Raw genomic sequence first — 18,909 nt, 5'->3', positions numbered from 1 at the left:
GGGCTTTTCTAGGTTGGATTGTATGTGTATATGGGGGGGTCATTTCCTAGAAGAATAGGTGGCCCCAGGACCTCTTCATGGCAGGTCTCTAGGAGAGGTGGAGAGGGAAGGAGGGATCCCTGACTTCGTACCTGCAACTGAGTTTACTGATTTTTTTGGGGGGAGTATATTTTAGTTTTTATTTTCAAGGTCCAGTACCATGGCTCAGCCCTTGTTTTTAATTCCTTGTGTACCGTGTATAACCTTGGCAGTGAGTGTAGTAGAAGGCAGGGTGAGGAGGCAGACGGGATCCTGGAAACCAGTCTTCTCCCCCAATCCAGCTTTCATGTCCCTTCCCTTCCTCAGGTGCAAATCGGTAACTCCTGAGTGGGTTCTGCAGGACCTCATTATTGCCCTTCAGGGTAACAGCAAGCTGACCCATCTGAACTTCAGCTCTAACAAGCTGGGAATGACTGTCCCCCTGATTCTTAAAGCTTTGAGACACTCAGCTTGCAACCTCAAGTATCTGTGGTAAGTCTTTGGCTCCCTAGATCTGTCAAGGGGGGTTGCAAGACCACCAGTAGCTTCCACGATCCACTGGGAGGGCTGACAGCACTCAGCCTTGTAGCAAAAGGAGACAGAGAAGGATGAGCAAAGGAGAATGTTCCTATGTGTAGAGCCGTGGTTCTCAAATTTTAATGTATATTAGCCTCACCTTGGGGGAGGTTATTTTTTATTTTGTTTTGTTTTTGAGACAGGGTCTCACTCTGTTCCCCGGGCTGGAGTGCAATGACGTGATCTCTGCTTGCTGCAACCACTGCCTCCTTGGCTCAAGCAGTCCTCCCACTGCAGCCCCCGAGTGGCTGGTACCCACAGGTGTGTGCCACCACACCCAGTGAATTTTTGTACTTTTTGTAGAAATGGGGTTTTGCCATGTTTCCCAGGCTGGTCTTGAACTCCTGGACTCAAGCAATCTGCTTGCCTCGGCCTCTTGAGTGCTGGGATTACAGGCGTGAGTCAATGTGCCCGGCCCAACCTAGTGGGTGTTTTAAAATACAGATTCCAGGCCAGGTGTGGTGGCTCATGCCTGTAATCCCGGCACTTTGGGTGGTGGAGTGGGGCAAATCATGAGGTCAGGAGTTCGAGACCAGCCTGACCAACACGGTGAAACCCCGTCTCTACTAAAAAATACAAAAATTAGCCGGGTGTGGTGGCACATGCCTGTAATCTCAGCTACTCAGGAGGTTGAGGCAGGAGACTCGCTTGAACCCGGGAGCGGAGGTTGCAGTGAGCCAAGATTGTGACACTGCACTCCAGCCTGGGCAACAGAGCAAGACTCTAACTCAAAAAAAAAAATAATAATACAGATCCCAGGAACTCAACTGCAGAGATCCTGCACATTTGGGGTGGGACCTAAGAATGAGCACTTCTAACAGGCTACCACGTCATGCTGCTCTTGCTGGATCATGGACCATGCTTTGAGTAGCGTTGACATGCGGGCCATCCAACCTCTGAAAGGGATGGGGAAGAGGGAGAAAGTCAGCTTTCATTCATGGAGCAGGGGGGGGTCTGTAAACACAGATCACTCTTTCAAAGAGTAACGGTCTGTCTCGGGGCCTCTGTGATAGGTTGGAGTCCTGTGGCCTTACCTACCAGATTTGTCAGCTCTTTCTCAAACTCACTGAGAACACAAGTCTCAACTTCCTCAGCCTGGGAGACAATGATCTCTCTGATGTGAGAAGCCTGAGGGAGTCCTCCACGCTACCAACGTGTCCCCTGAAGGAGCTGTCGTAAGTCTTGCGGCCTTCTCAAAGCATCTTCTTTGCAAGCTGGAGTGGCACAGTGGGGGTGGCAGTGGGTAGGTTTTGGGGAACCTTAGGGATCCCCCTACTGCATTTACTTATCACATTGACATACTTATTTTCTATCTTTCTGTCTTTCTTTCTGTCTGTCTGTCTATCATCTGTCTTTTTTTTTTTTTTTTTGAGATGGAGTCTCACTCTGTCACCCAGGCTGGAGTATGGTGGCACGATCTCGGCTCACTGTAACCTCCACCTCCTGGGTTCAAGCAATTCTCCTGCCTCAGCCTCCAGAATAGCTGGAATTACAGTCACACACCACCATCCCTAGCTAATTTTTGTAATTTTAGTACAGATGGGGTTTCACCATGTTGGACAGGCTGGTCTCGAACTCCTGAACTCAGGTGATCCACTCGCCTTGGCCTCCCAAGGTGCTGGGATTCCAGGCGTGAGCCACCACGCCTGGCCTCTTCTTTCTTCCTACCACCTTAGGTCTCAGTTCCAGCCAGTTTTCCCCTCACTTTGATCATGGCTATCTCACACGGCAGCCTTTCTTTGCATAATTTCCTTAGGCTTCTTTGATTCTCCCCAAATCCAGGGGTTTTCAACTGGATTCTATTAAATTAGTTGAAACTGGGGATGATTTGATTTTTGTCCCCCAGGGGACATTTGGCAATGCCTGGACAACATATTTGGTTGTCCTGATGGTGTAGGGGTTGCTACTAGTGGGTAACACCTAGTGGGTAAAGGTCAGTTATTATTGACATCCTGTAATGCACAGGGCAGTCCTCTCATTCTGCAACTAAGTGCAATCCAGCCCACACCTCAATAGGGCTGAGAAAACCCTACCTTGCCTCACCTTTTTCTCTTTGAGATGGAGTCTCCCTCTGTCACCCAGGCTGGAGTACAGTGGCGCACTCTTGGCTCACCACAACCTCTGCCTCTTGGGTTCAAGCAATTCTCCTGCCTCAGCCTTTCTGAGTAGCTGGGACTACAGGTGCACACCACCATGCCCAGATATATATGTATATATGTGTGTATATATATATGTATATATGTGTGTATATATGTATATATATACATATATATGTGTGTGTATATATACGTGTATATATATGTATGTATATATATATGTATTTTCTTTAGTGGAGATGAGGTTTCTCCATGTTGGCCAGGCTGCTCTCGAACTCTTGACCTCAGGTGATCCACCCGCCTTGGCCTCCCAAACTGCTGGGATTACAGGCGTCAGCCACTGCGCCTGGCCCTTTTTCTCCTTCTTTAAGCTTTTGTTCTTTCTCCAATTTAATCTTCCCATAATGTTTGGGTCTCGGGGGTTAAGGGGTTGAGAGAGAAAGGTAGAGGAACCTGGGCATCATGGCTGAGGCTCACCTTGCACCTGCACCTTCCACAGCCTGGAGAAATGCAACTTGTCGGCAGCCAGCTGTCAGGACCTAGCCTTGTTTCTCACCAGCATCCAACACGTAACTCGATTGTGCCTGGGATTTAATCGGCTCCAAGATGATGGCATAAAGCTATTGTGTGCGGCCCTGACTCACCCCAAGTGTGCCTTAGAGAGACTGGAGTAAGTTTTCCCTACTTCCATTTCTAGATATGACTCTATGGGCACAGATATCTAGAACAATGGTTTCTTCATTTGATATCTATTTATATTATTAAAAAGTAACATTCATTGAGTAATTACTATGTGCCAGGAATTGCTCTAAAACAGATTCAGAGTAGCATCCTGGATTTGTTGATCCCGTCTCTGGAGCTTTTGCCAAGAAACTTAATTTCCACGAGGACCCCAGGAAGTAATGAATTTTTTGGTCAACTCATATGTGAGCTTCTAGCAGAGATAGAACAAGGCCTCAAGGCTGGGGTGGTAGATATGACAGATTTACTTCCTGCCCATGTGGAAGGTATAGTTTTATGAGTGACATATAAAAACAAAACAATAGATATGAAGAAAAACAAAGTAGAACGAGAGTAGAATGACAGGGATGGGGTTGATTTCCCAGCAGGGTCTTCTCTCACTAACCTATTTGAACAGGTGATACTTAAATAGAGACTCAGATGAAGCAAGGGGGAGGCAGCCGTATGCGGAGAAGGAACAGCAGAGTGAAAGGCCTGAGGTTGGGCTGGGCAAGGTGGCTCACACCTGTAATCCCAGCACTTTGGGAGGCTGAGGCGGGCAGATCACGAGGTCAGGAATTTTGAGACCAGCCTGACCAACATGGCAAAACCCCATCTCTACTAAAGATACACAAAAAATTAGTCGGGCATGGTGCCTATAATCCCAGCCACTCAGGAGGCAGAGGCAGGAGAATCGCTAGAACCCAGGAGGTGAAGGTTTCAGTGAGCTGAGATCGTGCCACTACACTCCAGCCCGGATGACAGAGTGAGACTCCATCTCAAAAGGTTGGAATAAGCACAGCATGTTGGAGGAACAATGAGGAAGCTAGCATGGTTGGAGTAGAGTGAGGGTGATAGTGGTAGGAGATGGCAGTGCCTGGGATATGCTGGGCTGTGTAGGAATCTGTTTTGTCTTGAGTGAGATGGAAAGTCATCCTTGGATTGGAAGTGGGATGTTACCTTAATCTGACGTACTTTGAAAGATCATGCAGGCTGCTGTGGACAGGTGGACTACAGTCCGGACAAAAATACCAGTATGAGCAAGAGATAGGGCTCCTATTGACCAGGAGGGAGTGGCCCATGGGGAGGTTATAGGATTTCAGGATAGATCGGAAGGTAGAGCCAATGGGGTTTGCCAATGGATTCGAGGTGGTTTAGGAGGGAGGGTACCAAGAACACCTCCCAGAGGGTGAGGTTGGCAGCTAGGTAAAGGGTGGGACCATTCTCCAATGCAGGGAAGATTGGGGGCAGAGCAGGGTCTGGGTAAGAAGAGTTTGGGTTGGGGGTATAGGAGCTTGAGATGCCATTCAGAGATGTTACGTGAGCCGTTGTAGGCAGGACTGCGGGAATCTAGAAGATTGCCTTGTGGGAATGAGAGACCCCGTACAGTGGTGGACGCACAAAGAGATTCTTTAGGTCTCCTCTTCTCTAGCTGCATCGTGCTGCTCTGGTGCAGGTGTGGAATAGAGGGAAAGGTGGGTTTTCCTGAGACTGGACAATTGTCAGGTGAGTATAAAAAGCACAGAAAAGGCCAAGGACCTTTAGGTGTCACCAAGTTGATTATCCCGGAGAACCACAGACTCTGGCCCTCTGCTCCTTTGCCAGTTCACTGCTCATTCGGCACTGAGTCTCCAAGAATGGGATTATCGATAGGTGATTCACACACATAATGTGAGTTAATCATACGTGTGTAATTATACGTGTATGATCATGATACAATGTGTAGAATTGTAACACCATTATAACTAATTATAATTAGTATTACAACCCTAATATATTATTACAACTCTATTATAGCCCTAATAATTAGTATAATTATAACTGTTATAATTCTACACATTGTAACATCATATACATATAGGTTGTAATTTTAACCAATTATAATTGTAATTATATAATTATGACTAATATTACAGTTATTTATATATTATAACAATTAGTTGTTATAATTTATAATGTAATTGATTGTAATTATACATATATACATGTATAATTGTAACATATATTTCATTATATATTTACATTATGATATATGTATTATGCAATATATGTATGTAATATATAGTTAATATTTAATATATTAACGATATACTATTATGTAACTACATATATTTTCATAAAACTTATATGTTAACACATATTATGCAATACATGCATATCTAATATATGCCATCTCTATTTGTGATATAATAATCTTCTATAACCTGTACACTGCCTGTTTGCCAAGTGCTGTCCCAAGCACATGCACTGCTCGTGGGCTCACTGGCAGCTCTCTGCCAGACCATCCTACTGCACTTCAGAATGGAAGGCAATGAAGGCTGAAAGGAGTGCGGGAGCTTGTTGAGGGTCACCCAGCTGCTGACAGACAAGCCCATTTGGACCCACGCCCAACTGGCTCCAGAGCCTTGGAGCCTTGAAAGTTTTTTTTTTCTTTATTTTTTCCTAAACCAGTCACTAATGAGAACCACAGACTTGGTGTACTCACTGTAGAAATCTGGATCGAGGGAGGGTTATGGTATGCAAGATACTGCCATAGCCTGGGTCGGTGTCCAGCTAAAAAGAAAGACCTTGTCGTCCAGGGAGCTGCTGCATGTGTAGGCTCGGAGGGGGCCCTGAGGCTCTGTTCCAGGAGCCTGGGTCTGGGCTGCTTCCCTGAGTGTCCATCTCTGTGGCTTTCACCCTGCAGGCTCTGGTTTTGCCAGCTGGCAGCACCCGCTTGCAAGCACTTGTCAGATGCTCTCCTGCAGAACAGGAGCCTGACACACCTGAATCTGAGCAAGAACAGCCTGAGAGACGAGGGAGTCAAGTTCCTGTGTGAGGCCTTGGGTCGCCCAGATGGTAACCTGCAGAGCCTGAAGTAAGTTTTCTTGGCTCCCTCTGAGTTGGCAGATGGAGGAGAGCCATGGGAATTGACCCACCAATGCCTGAGTTCCTGATGGGGTTTGAATGAGGCGTGGACAAGCTCTTTGCCATGGAGGAGCTTCTGGTTTTGTCGGGGGTGTGGGATGGGGAAAGTGGGAGGACCGTGAATGTGTGTGTGTCTGGGGGACCTCGAGACCAGCCCCCGGGTTTGATGTTTCACTGGGAGGACTCGGGATCCAGCCCATAGTCGTATTCATGCTACACTTCATCAGGGTGAAAGGACACAAGGCAGATCAGCAAAGGGAAAGGGGCTTGGGACAGAGTCCAGAGGAAACCAGACATAAGCTCCCAGGAGCCCTCTCCCCGTGCAATCACATGTGGGATATGACAAGGTTTCTCTTCAAATAGCCTGATCAATCCTTTCTTCTTCAATCCACAGTACCGCTCCCCTTCCCTTTCCTTCTCTTTCTTTCTGCCTTTACTACGTGCCCAGGCATGCTAACAGCACCAGTGGCTTATCAGTATTAGCTCACCTTCCTTTCCTTATTTGGGAAGAAAACTAGCTCTCCAGCTCATCGCAGACGACTTTTCCCCCTCTCCCCTCTCTCCCTTACTCTCCCTTCTCTCCCTTAAGTGCCCACATTATCTAAGAAAAAGTTCAAACGTTTAGCCAATCAGGTCTAGTTGAGATTGTGTGGTCCGACCCCAGCCAATGGGGAAAGGGCACGGGGTCAGGATTTGCATCAGGGATAAAAACTTTCATTCTCCTTTGTTCTATGTGCTCTCGTGGCGACGGGCCAAAGAGAAGCACTCCTCTGTGCAGAGGTAAATTTGCTTTGCTGAGAAATCTTTTGTCTGAGTGCTCGTCTTTTCCTTAAGACTCCAAGCTTGCTCTCCAACATCACACAGGACACACAATTCCTCCAGCCACCAGCTGTGGCAATCATGCCAAGTGTGGTCTACCAGGGCAGCCCATTAGAGACCCTGAGCCCAGAGTTTTTACTGAGTGCTGGTTATGTGCGGTCTAGCATGTACCAAGACGTGAGCCACTGTGCCTGGCCGGTCAAGGGATTTGTTATTCTTCCAGGGGATTTTGAAACTTTAGAGAGAAGAGCATATATTACAATCCATGCTCGAACTTCAACAATTATTGATTTATGGCCTATCTCCTTTCATCTAAAGCTTCACCAACACTCAGTAATGGGATTGCTGGGTCAAATGGGATTCCTGGTTCTAGATTTTTTTTTTTTTTTTAAGATGGAGTCTTGTTCTGTCACTCAGGCTGGAGTGCAGTGGTGTGATCTCAGCTCACTGCAAGCTCAGCCTCCTGGGTTCACGTCATTCTCCTGTCTCAGCCTCCCGTGTAGCTGGGACTACGGGTGCCCGCCACCATGCCCGGCTAATTTTTTGTATTTTTTTTTTAGTACAGATGGGGTTTCACCATGTTAGCCAGGATGGTCTCAATCTCCTGACCTCGTGATCCACCCGCCTTGGCCTCCCAAAGTGCTGGGATTACAGGCGTGAGCCACCGCGCCTGGCCTGGTTCTAGATTCTCGAGGAATCGTCACACTGTCTTCCACAATGGTTGAACTAATTTCTCCCTCTAAGATTATTTTGAGGCCCATCCCGTGGGTCATACCTCTTCCTTTGTAAACACAAAGTAGTTTTATATTTGCATCTGCATTTATAAGAATGAAGTTGAGTATGTTTTCAAATGCTGACAACCATTGATAAAAACTTCCAGATTAAAAAAACCTGTTGATAAAATTTGCTGATTTTTTTTTTAACCTGTTTCATTTTGTTTTTCCCCTCGTCACTTGTAGGGAATTCTTTCTTGTTTTTAAAACTTTAATCGTTTTATTGTAAATTTACCATCTGTATATGTTTTGGGGGTACAAACTTTATGAATACAATGTGGAATAATTAAGTTAGTTAATGTGTCCATCACCTCAAATACTTAACAATTTTTTGTGGTGACAATATTTGAAATTTATTATGTTAGCAATTTTGAAAGGTACAATGTTCTATTAAGTATGTTTGCCATGCCATGGAATAGATCTCAAAAAAAAAAAAAAACAACAATTATATTCCTGCTGAGATTTTTGTACCCTTTGACCACCATGTCTAAACTCTAGGGAAATCTGACTGTCTTTGATTTGCATGTATCATTTATCAGCCTGGCAGTTCTCTTACACTTGGCCTTTGATGGGTTAGCCATATGGACGTTCTTCACGTAGTCAAAATTTTTTTTAAACAGACTCTTGCTCTGTCGCCCAGGCTGGAGTACAATGGTGCAATCTCGGCTCACTGCAACCTCCACCTCCCGGGTTTAAGCTATTCTCCTGCCTCAGCCTCCCAAGTAGCTGGGATTGCAGGCACCCGCCACCACGCCTGGATAATTCTTGTATTTTTAGTAGAGATGGGGTTTCACCATGTTGGGCAGGCTGGTCTCGAACTCCTGACCTCATGATCCACCCGCCTCAGCCTCCCAAAGTGCTGGGATTACAGGCGTGAGCCACCGTGCCCGGCCAAACCTTTTTGGGATGGGGGGGGTGGGTTTAAGGATTTTGGATGACTCTTTCTCCTCCTGTCGCTTCCTTGTCTTTCCTCTCCTCATCCCTCCCCACCTCAACCCATATTTTCTCCAAATAGTCACCTGGATTAACTATTTTGAACTTATTATGGTATAGTAATTTATTCTGGGAAATTCAGACCTGCCGTTATGGGAGATTCCTGGTATCTTCAGCTCAACTGTCGAGCTTGAAGGCTGAGAATCGTGCACTGTGATAGCCAAGCCAACTCTGGGTGCTGGGGGGTAACCACCACAGAGAGGCCCTTCACGTTCATGCACCTGCGGGGGGCGTGGGAGGGAGAGGGCTGTGTTGCTGTGCCCTCGGCTTTCTATCTCAGGTAAATAGAGCACCTGGAGGTGTCTCGGCCCTCCTGACTCGCACCCTCCTCCTTCGAGGCTTGGGACAAAAGTCTGGCTTCAGGGTGTCTCCTTTCCTTGGACGTGAGATGGGCAGTTGTAAACACAGCACAGCTTCGGGACGCAATTACTTTCCCCCCTTTTGTATGTTTTTATTTTGCAGTTTGTCAGGTTGTTCTTTCACAAGAGAGGGCTGTGGAGAGCTGGCTAATGCCCTCAGCCATAATCATAATGTGAAAATCTTGGATTTGGGAGAAAATGATCTTCAGGATGATGGAGTGAAGCTACTGTGTGAGGCTCTGAAACCACATCGTGCATTGCACACACTTGGGTGAGTTGATGCTGTTCTCCTTGCAGAGTCTTCCTTCTCTACTCTTGCGGGTGGGGAGATATGATCGGATCCCATCGGGGGTTAGAAAGTGAGGCAAAGTAAGGACAAGCCATCTAAGAAATCTCACCCAGGTGTGGTGGCTCACGCCCGTAACCCCAGCACTTTGGGAGGCCAAGGTGGGTGGATCACCTGAGGTCAGGAGTTCGAGAGCAGCCTGACCAACATGGGGAAACCCCGTCTCTACTAAAAATACAAAAATTAGCTGGGAGCAGTGGCTCACACCTGTAATCCCAGCATTTGGGGAGGTCGAGGTGGGCGGATCACCTGAGGTCAGGAGCTCAAGACAAGCCTGGCCAACATGGGGAAACCCCATCTCTACTAAAAATACGAAAATTAGCTGGGTGTATAGGTGGGCATCTGTAGTCCCAGCTACTCAGGAGGCTGAGGCAGGAGAATCGCTTGAACCCGGGAGGTAGAGGTTGCAGTGAGCTGAGATTGTGCCATTGCACTCCAGCCTGGGAGACAAGAGCGAAACTCCATCTCAAAAAAAAAAAAAACAAAAACAAAAACAAAAACTCTCCTGCTAGATGATAAGCTTGAAGTTTTTCACGTTTAGAGAAGTGTTTTACTCTTGTTACCACCATCCTTGGTACATTGAAAATATTGTCTCTCCCAATCTGCCCATGGTGGGTGCCAGGTGCTGGGAAGTTGAGGGGAGCGCAGCCTGCTCCCCACTGTGAATCTTCACTTCACCGTTGTTAACCATCATGCAACGTGTACTAAGCAGACTAAGATGAGTTGCTCTGAACCGTAGGATTTTTTGCTAAATGTGGCTTACATGATAGCAATTTCTCATGTAGGGAATGGTTCCATTAGCTCAGTGATGTTTTCAGAAACAGTGTTAGGATTTGTTAGTATCAAATGAACCGACTCAAATTGTAAACCACCTCCAGCATTGTTGGGGTTTACCAGCCACCTCAAACCTCTATTCAGAGATTGTTAAATCTACTATATAGACACCACACATTAAATTATTGGTTTAAACATAAACTAGACTTGTTCTCTCATAGGCCTGAAAGAAACATGAATAGGTTAACGTTATCTGCAGTGCCAAATTTAAGATAGTTTGGCATAAATGCATTCTGAATCAAGTTTATCTTCAAAAAAATCAGTTAACGAAGCAACTTACTGAACTATTTCCTTAGAGAGACTCATTCTGACTTTTTTCTTTCTAAAAGAAGGGCTTTATGGTTTTTTGTTTGTTTTGATGGGGTCTCACTCTGTCACCCAGGCTGGAGTGCAGTGGTGCGATCTCAGCTCAGTGCAACCTCAAGCAATCCTTCCTCCTCAGCCTCCTGAGTAGCTGGGACAACAGGTGCACGCTACCACACCCATCTGTTTTTTTGTATTTATTATGGAAATGAGGTTTCACCATGTTGCCCAGTCTGGTCTCAAACTCCTAAGCTCAAGTGATCTGCCTGCCTCAGTCTCCCAAAGTGTTGGGATTACTGACATGAGCCACTGCGCCTGGCCAGCGTGTAATAGTTATTTATGAACTCAGGTGGAGATCTCTGATGTGTTAAACTGATCTAATGTATTTTCTCACTTTTGTCTTTGTGTTTCTAGTAGCTAGCCAACCCTATGTTCAAATTTTGTATTGTTGAATTTAGAATAAGATGGAAAAAAGTGTAAATAAGGAATAATAGTGCTATTTCAGTTCTTTCAAAGATCTAATAAACTCATATCCCTTGTATACTAAAATGGTTTGTTTCACATTCTGGCAGGTTAAGTTTTTGTTTCCTCCTCCATCAAATACAGTTTAAAATAGTATGTACCTTTGATAAGATTGATAGATGGGTTAGATGAGTTATATGTCAGTATTTAAAAGGTGCCCGGCATGCAGTAAGTACTCCACTCTTTTCCATTTTTTTTTTTTTTTTTTTTTTTTTGTGAGATGGAGTCTTGCTCTGTCGCCCAGGCTGGAGTGCAGTGGCGCAATCTTGACTCACTGCTACTTCCACCCCGTGGGCTCAAGCAATTCCCTGCCTCAGCCTCCCAAGCAGCTGGGATTACAGACACCCACCACCACGCCTGGCTAATTTTTGTATTTTTTGTAGTAGAGACAGGGTTTCACCATCTTGTCGAGGCTGGTGTTGAACTCCTGACCTTGTGATCCACCCACCTCAGCCTCCCTAAGTGCTGGGATTACAGGTGTGAGCCACCGCGCCCAGCCCTTTTTTTTTTTTTTTTTGAGACAGAATCTTGCTGTCGCCAGGCTGGAGTGCAGTGGTGTGATCTCGGCTCACTGCAACCTCCACCTCCCGGGTTCAAGCGATTCTCCTGCCTCAGCCTCCTGAGTACCTGGAACTACAGATGCATGCCAACATGCCTGGCTAATTTTTGTATTTTAATAGAAATGGGGTTTCACCATGTTGCCCAGGATGGTCTCTGTCTCTTGACCTCATGATCTACCCACCTCGGCCTCCCAAAGTGCTGGGATTACAGGCGTGAGCCACTGTGCCTGGCCAAGTGCTCCACTCTTAAGCAGTCTGCTTTAGTAATAGTTTTTTTCCTGCAGATGTGGTATCTCTTTTCTAACTTCCCAGTCTCAGAGGACTATCTGTTGTGCTTTCTTCCCACCCGCCCCTAGGTTGGCGAAATGCAATCTGACAACTGCTTGCTGCCAGCATCTCTTCTCTGTTCTCAGCAGCAGTAAGAGCCTGGTCAATCTGAACCTTCTAGGCAATGAATTGGATACTGATGGTGTCAAGATGCTATGTAAGGCTTTGAAAAAGTCGACATGCAGGCTGCAGAAACTCGGGTAAACCTCACTGACTTTTCTGCAGGGGAGAACATACAGGGACAAGGCTAGATTGACTAGGCTTCTAGAGCATGTGTCAGGTTTCCATTGCACTCGGCTTCCTCAGGCCATGCAGGCCAACGGAACTTCCAGTAAGGGTGGGAGTGATCTCTGTGCTGTGCACCTGCTGTGTAGCCACGAGCGGCATCTCATCATTGGGCACTTGAAACATGGTTAGTGTGACTGGGAACTGAATTAGTAGTTTTCTTTTTTCTTTCACCTTTTTTGAGACAGTGTCTCGCTCTGTCACCCAGGCTAGAGTGCAGTTGTGTCATCTTGATTCACTGCAACCTCCACCTCCCGGGTTTAAGCAATTTTCCTGCCTCAGCCTCCCGAGTAGCTGGAGCTACAGGCACCCACCACCACGCCCAGCTAATTTTTGTATTTTTGTAGAGATGGGGGTTTCACCGTAGTGGCCAGGCTGGTCTTGAACTCCTGACCTCAGGTGATCCACCCACCTCGGCGTCTCAAAGTGCTGGGATTACAGGCATGAGCCACCATGCCCGGACTGTTTTTTCTTTTCTTTTTTGAGATGGAGTCTTGCTCTGTCACCCAGGCTGGAGTGCAGTGGCGCAATCTCAGTTCACTACAACCTCCCCATCCTGGTTCAAGTGATTCTCTTGGCTCAGCCTTCCCAGTAGCTGGGACTACAGGTGCATGCCACTACGCCTGGCTAATTTTCTTTTTCTTTTCTTTCTTTTTTTTTTTTTTAACATACTTTTAGTAGACACGGGGGTTTCACCATGTTGGCCCGCCTCCCAAAGTGCTGCGATTACAGGCGTGAGCCACTGCTCCTGGCCACCAGCCTATTTTAATATAAATATAAATTTTTAATTTTATTAGGTTGGTACAAAGTAATTTTGGTGTTTGCTATTACTTTTAATGCAGTGGTTTTAAAGTAATGGTTTTTGCTGTCACTTTTAGTGGCAAAAATGGCAATTACTTTTGCATCAACCTACTAATTAAATCTTAACAGCCACATGTCGCTAATGACTACCGTACTGGATGGTGCAGTCCTGGAGACTTTTGGGTATTTTGAGAGCCTGCTTCTGTTTATCATTCTTGTACCTACTGTACGTGTCACTCCATAGCCATTAACTTGTGGCTTCTTTTTCAATACCGACTCTGGGCCAAGCACCATGGCATGGTAGACAGGGGGGAAACAAACGGACATGAGCCTTGTCCTTGAGAGTCTTGAGTTCTCCTCCAGGAGATAACAGGTCTGAGACATAAAAGCAATCTCTGTTGTCATGAATGCTGTGAAAGAAACTCTGGGTTGAGATAAGACAGGAGGGTGACCAGAATAGCAAGGGGCTTGCCAGAGGCGGTACCATTGATCCTGAGTCCCAAGGAGGCTGGAAGGAGGAGTCCCTATATCAGGAAGGGAACATGAGAGGTGACTAGAGATGAAGGGTGGAATGTACTGAGGATGTTTCAGTAGCATGTGCAAAGGCCCTGAGGTTGCACCAAGCTTTATGTTGCCCCTTTGAGGCACTGAGAGAAGAGCATTTAATTAGAACACTTTCCACCCCATTCAGTATTCTGAGAGGAAATCAGAAAGGTAAGCAGGTTGGCTGCAGTTGCTCATGCCTATAATTCCAGCACTTTGAGAGGCCAAGGCAGGAGGATCACTTGAGGCCAGGAGTTCAAGACCAGCATGGGCAACATAGGCAGATCCTGTCTCTACAAAAATTTTAAAAAATTGGCTTGGCATGGTGGCACACACCTGTGTTCCCAGCAACTTGGGAGGCTGAGGTGGGAAGACTGCCTGAACCCAGGAGTTTGAGGCTGTAGTGAGCCATGATCATGCACTCCAGCCTGGGTAACAGAGCAAGACCCTGTCTCAAAAAAAAAAAAAAAAAAAAAGTTGGGGCATGGAGAAAGGTAAGCAGTTAACAGCTGTTACTGGTACATCTCAGCAGAAGTCATCCCAGATGCCAAGGAACCTTGCCTACTTTAGGAAGTGAGTCACGATCTGCACCTTTTAAAGATTTGATGTTGCCAACTTCACACTTCAGTGGTGCATTTTAAAAAGGGTTCTGGGACAGCAACCGTTAAAGATGAAGCTTCTCTGCTGTCTATCATGCATGTGTGCAGAAGGGGCTTCTGACTGGGTGCCCAGACCCTCGCCTCCTCTTGTAGAACGCTCAGATTTTATTTTTCAAAAATTGCTAGATGCAGATTAATGAGAAGTACTTGGATTTATTCATACACAGTGAAAATGGCCTGAGTTACTCTGGCCTGCCCACAAGGTCCCTTGTGTCATCTGCGCCATGGTTTTCTCATCCTCTACCTTTGTGGTTGTGCCTTTTCTCTATGGAAAGGGGTTCCCGTGCCATCAAATCTTCTCCCTGACATCTGTGGGTAAGGCTAGGGTGGTGGGAGGTCCCAGTCGAAGGGTAAACAAAAGTTACCCTTCATTTGTTAGTCTTTCTGTAGGTAGGTGCCAAAGTAATTGTGTTTGCTATTACTTTTAATGCAGTGGTTTTAAAGTAATGGTTTTTGCCATTACTTTTTTTTTGAGATGGAGTTTCACTCTTGTTGCCCACACAGGAGTGCAATGGCGTGATCTCGGCTCACCGCACCCTCCGCCTCCCAGGTTCAAGCGATTCTCTTGCCTCAGCCTCCCGAGTAGCCTGGATTACAGGCACGTGCCACCACACCCAGCTAACTTGGTATTTTTAGTAGAGATGGGGTTTCTCCATGTTGGTCAGGCTGGTCTAGAACTGCCGACCTCAGGTAATTCACCTGCCTCAGCCTCCCAAAGTGCTGGGATTACAGGTGTGAGCCACCATGCCTGGCCGCCATTACTTTTAATGGCAAAAATGGCAATTACTTTTGTCTAAACCTTTATTATGCTTTATATCAGTTTGCCACTTTACACTGCACCCTGCCTGTACTTCACTGCTTCCATCCAGTCTGCTGTTGATGAGCACCTAGGTTGGTTCCATGTCAATGCTATTGTGAACAGTGCTGTGAGGAACACACACATGCATGTGGTCCACATACACCATGGAGTACTACACTGCTCTAAAAAGGAATGAAACCATGTCCTTTGTGGCAACATGGACGCAGCTGAGGGCTATTAGCCTAAGTGAACTAATGCAGGAACAGAAAACCACATACCACATGTTCTCACAAGTTGGAGCTAAACAATCAGTACATGTGGATTTAAAGATGGTGACAGTAGGCCAGGCATGGTGGCTCATGCCTCTAATTCCAGCACTTTGGGAGGCCGAGGTGGGCAGATCACCTGAGGTCAGGAGTTCGAGACCAGCCTGGCCAACATGGTGAAACCCCATCTCTACTAAAAATACAAAAATTAGCCGGCGTGGTGGTGTGCGCCTATAATCCCAGCTATTCAGGAGCCTAAGGCAGGAGAATCGCTGGGGCCCAGGAGGTGGAGGGTGCAGTGAGCCGAGATCACGCCACTGCACTCCAGCCTGGGTGACAAAGTGACACTGCGTCTCAAACAATACGTATATGTGTATGTGTGTATGTATATGAATATGTGTGTGTGTATGTGTGTGTATATACATATATACACATATATTTGTTGACAAGACACGGGACTACTAGGAGGAGGAGAGTAGGAAGGAGGCAAGGGTTAAAGTACTTTCAGGTGCTATACTCACTACCTGGGTGATGGGATCATTCACACACCAAACTTCATGCCACACAGTAGACCCATGTAACAAACCTGTACGTGTTCCCCTGAACCTTAAAAATTAAAAATTACTTCTAAACTTCTTCACTGCTTCTAAACTTCAGTACTTCTTATTTTGCAGGCTTCAAAAAGACCTGCACAATGTAGTGAGAGAGGAGATACAGACCTCACAGAAGGAGCTCTGTCTGAAACTCAAGTGTGCGTGGGATTTTAATGACCTTGAAGACAAGTGGTGGTGGTGATCCCACGGATTAGATGCCACGTGGCTTGACCATGGATCTTGGGGGAAAGCCACCAGGACATCCTGGCCTGTGTGTCGCTCCAATGTCACCATTTGTGGGGACAAATGAGCTGTTCCCTGCAGGAGGCTTTGTCACGGTTGTTGGAGGCCGCCCATTGCACGCCCAGGTCTGGAATCCTAGTGTAATACTGTGTCTGGTACCAAGATCATAAGTTGGCTGTGCCTTCAGTCTTGTCTATGTCCTCCTTGGTGTAATGTTTTTAATTCTTGGAGGTGTTGAGAGAATTCAATAAAGCAAAGCATATAAAAATACCTCAGGAAAGTCCAAAGCCTCATTTCTCATGGATTGAGAAGTGGGATCGATGTGTTTATAATTCCATAATTATTATACTGTGATTAAACCACATAGACATCCAGAACTCCTAATATGCCTTTATCTTCACTTATATTGACTCCCCCAAGAAATATTAGACTCTGCATTGATTTTTTTTTTTTTTGAGACAGGGTCTCACTCTGTCACCCAGGCTGGAGCGTAGTGGCACCATCTCAGCTCACTGCAACCTCCACCTCTCGAGTTCAAGTGGTTCTTCTGCCTCAGCCTCCCAAGTAGCTGGGATTACAGGCATGTACCACCAGGCCTGGCTAACTTTTGTATTTTTAGTAGACATGGGGTTTCACCATGTTTTCCAGGCCGGTTTTGAACTCCTGGCCTCAAGTGATCCACCTGCCTCGGCCTCCCGAAGTGTTGGGATTACAGGTGTGAGCCACCGCACCTGGCCTGGATTGATTCCTATCTCCCACTCTTCATTACGATGTACTTTTCTGAGTTTATTCCATCTCCTGCCCTTCTTCACCCGAAACCTTCTCACTGTGCTCTTTGGAAACCAGCAAACCTATATTTAGAGAATAGGTTGAAACGGTCCCTTTAATCTCCCTCTCTCTGAAACCTGCATCTCCTCTGAGGACATTGCTTCTCTTGCAGCTCTTTCGGGCGTGGTTGTCTTGTCTCGGGAGCCTAGCAGTTAATCGGGTGGGTGGTCTCTTCCTCACCTTCTGCTCTGCGACCATTCTCTTCACCCCTCTGTCTCCCTCTCAGCCTCTATCCTCGTGTCTTTAGATTTAGACCCCTTGTTCTTCGAGCCACTTCCGGACTGCCAAATTAGACTTCAGTTAAAAGACTTTAGCTCCTGGCCCCCCGTCAGCCCCTCCGGTGGTACAAGTTGAGTATCCCTTATCCGAAATGCATGGACTTTGCATTTTTTTCAGACTTTGGAATATTTGCATTATACTTACTGGCTGGACACACAAAATCTAAAATTCTGAATTCGGAAACGTTCCAGTAAACATTTCCTATGAGCATCGTCTCAGCGTTCAAAAGGAACATTCTAGATTCTGGATTTTTGGATTTGGGATGTTCAGCCTATATTCCTTACACCTAATTTTAATCTCCATGCTTGTCCAACCCACAGCCTGGGCCCACTTTTAATGAGGTCCCAACACAAATTCATAAACTTTCGTATGCATAGACTTTTTTTTTGTTTGTTTTGTTTTTGTTTTTTTTTTTTTTTTTAGCTCATCAGCCAGCATTAGTGTGTGGCCCAAGACAATTCTTCCAACGTGGCCCAGGGAAACCAAAAGATCGGACATCCCTGTGTGACTGCATCTTCAACGACAGTATCTTCTGCCGTATCTAAGCCTCCTTCATGCTCAAACTCCAGAAATTCCAACTATTTTGTAGTTTTTTTTTTTTTTTTTTTTTTTTTTTAAGACACTCTCGCTCTGTCGCTCAGGCTGGAGTGCAGTGGTGCGATCTCGGCTCACTGCAACCTCCGCCTCCTGAGTTCAAGCAATTCTCCTGCCTCAGCCTCCCGAGTAGCTGGGACTACAGGCATGCGCCACCACACCCGGCTACTTTTTGTATTTTTAGTAGAGATGGGGTTTCACCCTGTTGGCCAAAATGGTCTCGATCTCTTGACCTTGTGATCTACCCGCCTCGGCTTCCCAAACTGCTGGGTTTACAGGCGTGAGCCACCATGCCTGGCCTAGTAGTTTCACTTTTAATTGGCATTTGCCTCTTCAACAACCACTTCATATCTTCCTGACTGACTCTAACCAGAGATTAATCTGTAGATTCCATTCTCACTGATATACTATAGCAAGAGGCTGTTTATCATGGGCCCTAAGCACCCCTGTACATTCTTTATGGGTATGCATAAAATGTTGGACCCTGACTTTTAAATTTCTTTTTTTTAATTTTTGTTTTTTTGCCAAGGACTTTTGCCAGGTTGTGTTTGCACTGAGCAAACTTGAGGGATAAGGTAACTTTCTACCCCAGACAAAAAGCAGGCTTGTTCTGCTTATTGAAAATCGGCAGATTCCCTAAGCTCAGCATGCTTCTCTTAATCCAGTCTACAGCAGGTACAGTCATCTATCATGGACCCTTTATGGCACCCAAAGCTGTGAGACTTGGGAAGTATGAGGAACTGATTAAAAGCAACAAGAAATACTGACTCATGCTTTTGTCATGGATGATAAAATTATTTGTTTCTGGGCCAGGAGTCTCATATCTTCTGCTAGCTTCCATGAAACAGGAACAGGCTTTTTGGCTC

The 18,909-nt window shown here is 46.1% G+C and overlaps 1 protein-coding gene across 2 annotated transcripts in view; it reads left to right on the top strand.

Moving 5' to 3' along the window:
• Positions 1-16,610, top strand: part of NLRP13 (NLR family pyrin domain containing 13) — a 40,645-nt gene extending 24,035 nt beyond the window's left edge. Inside the window, exons 7-12 of one of the 2 annotated variants that reach the window (NM_001321057.1) lie at positions 346-510; positions 3,190-3,360; positions 6,097-6,267; positions 9,365-9,532; positions 12,183-12,310; positions 16,181-16,610. In NM_001321057.1, coding sequence (NP_001307986.1) covers positions 346-510; positions 3,190-3,360; positions 6,097-6,267; positions 9,365-9,532; positions 12,183-12,310; positions 16,181-16,206 — 829 coding nt within the window. In that variant the 3' untranslated portion in view covers positions 16,207-16,610. Of the gene's footprint in view, positions 1-345; positions 511-3,189; positions 3,361-6,096; positions 6,268-9,364; positions 9,533-12,182; positions 12,358-16,180 lie in introns of those variants that run through there. The other variant, NM_176810.2, reaches the window with a different exon arrangement.

This window comes from Homo sapiens, chromosome 19 (assembly GCF_000001405.40).
Source record: "Homo sapiens chromosome 19, GRCh38.p14 Primary Assembly".
Taxonomy (NCBI): Eukaryota; Metazoa; Chordata; class Mammalia; order Primates; family Hominidae; genus Homo; species Homo sapiens.
This window is presented reverse-complemented; position numbering and strand designations above follow the sequence as displayed.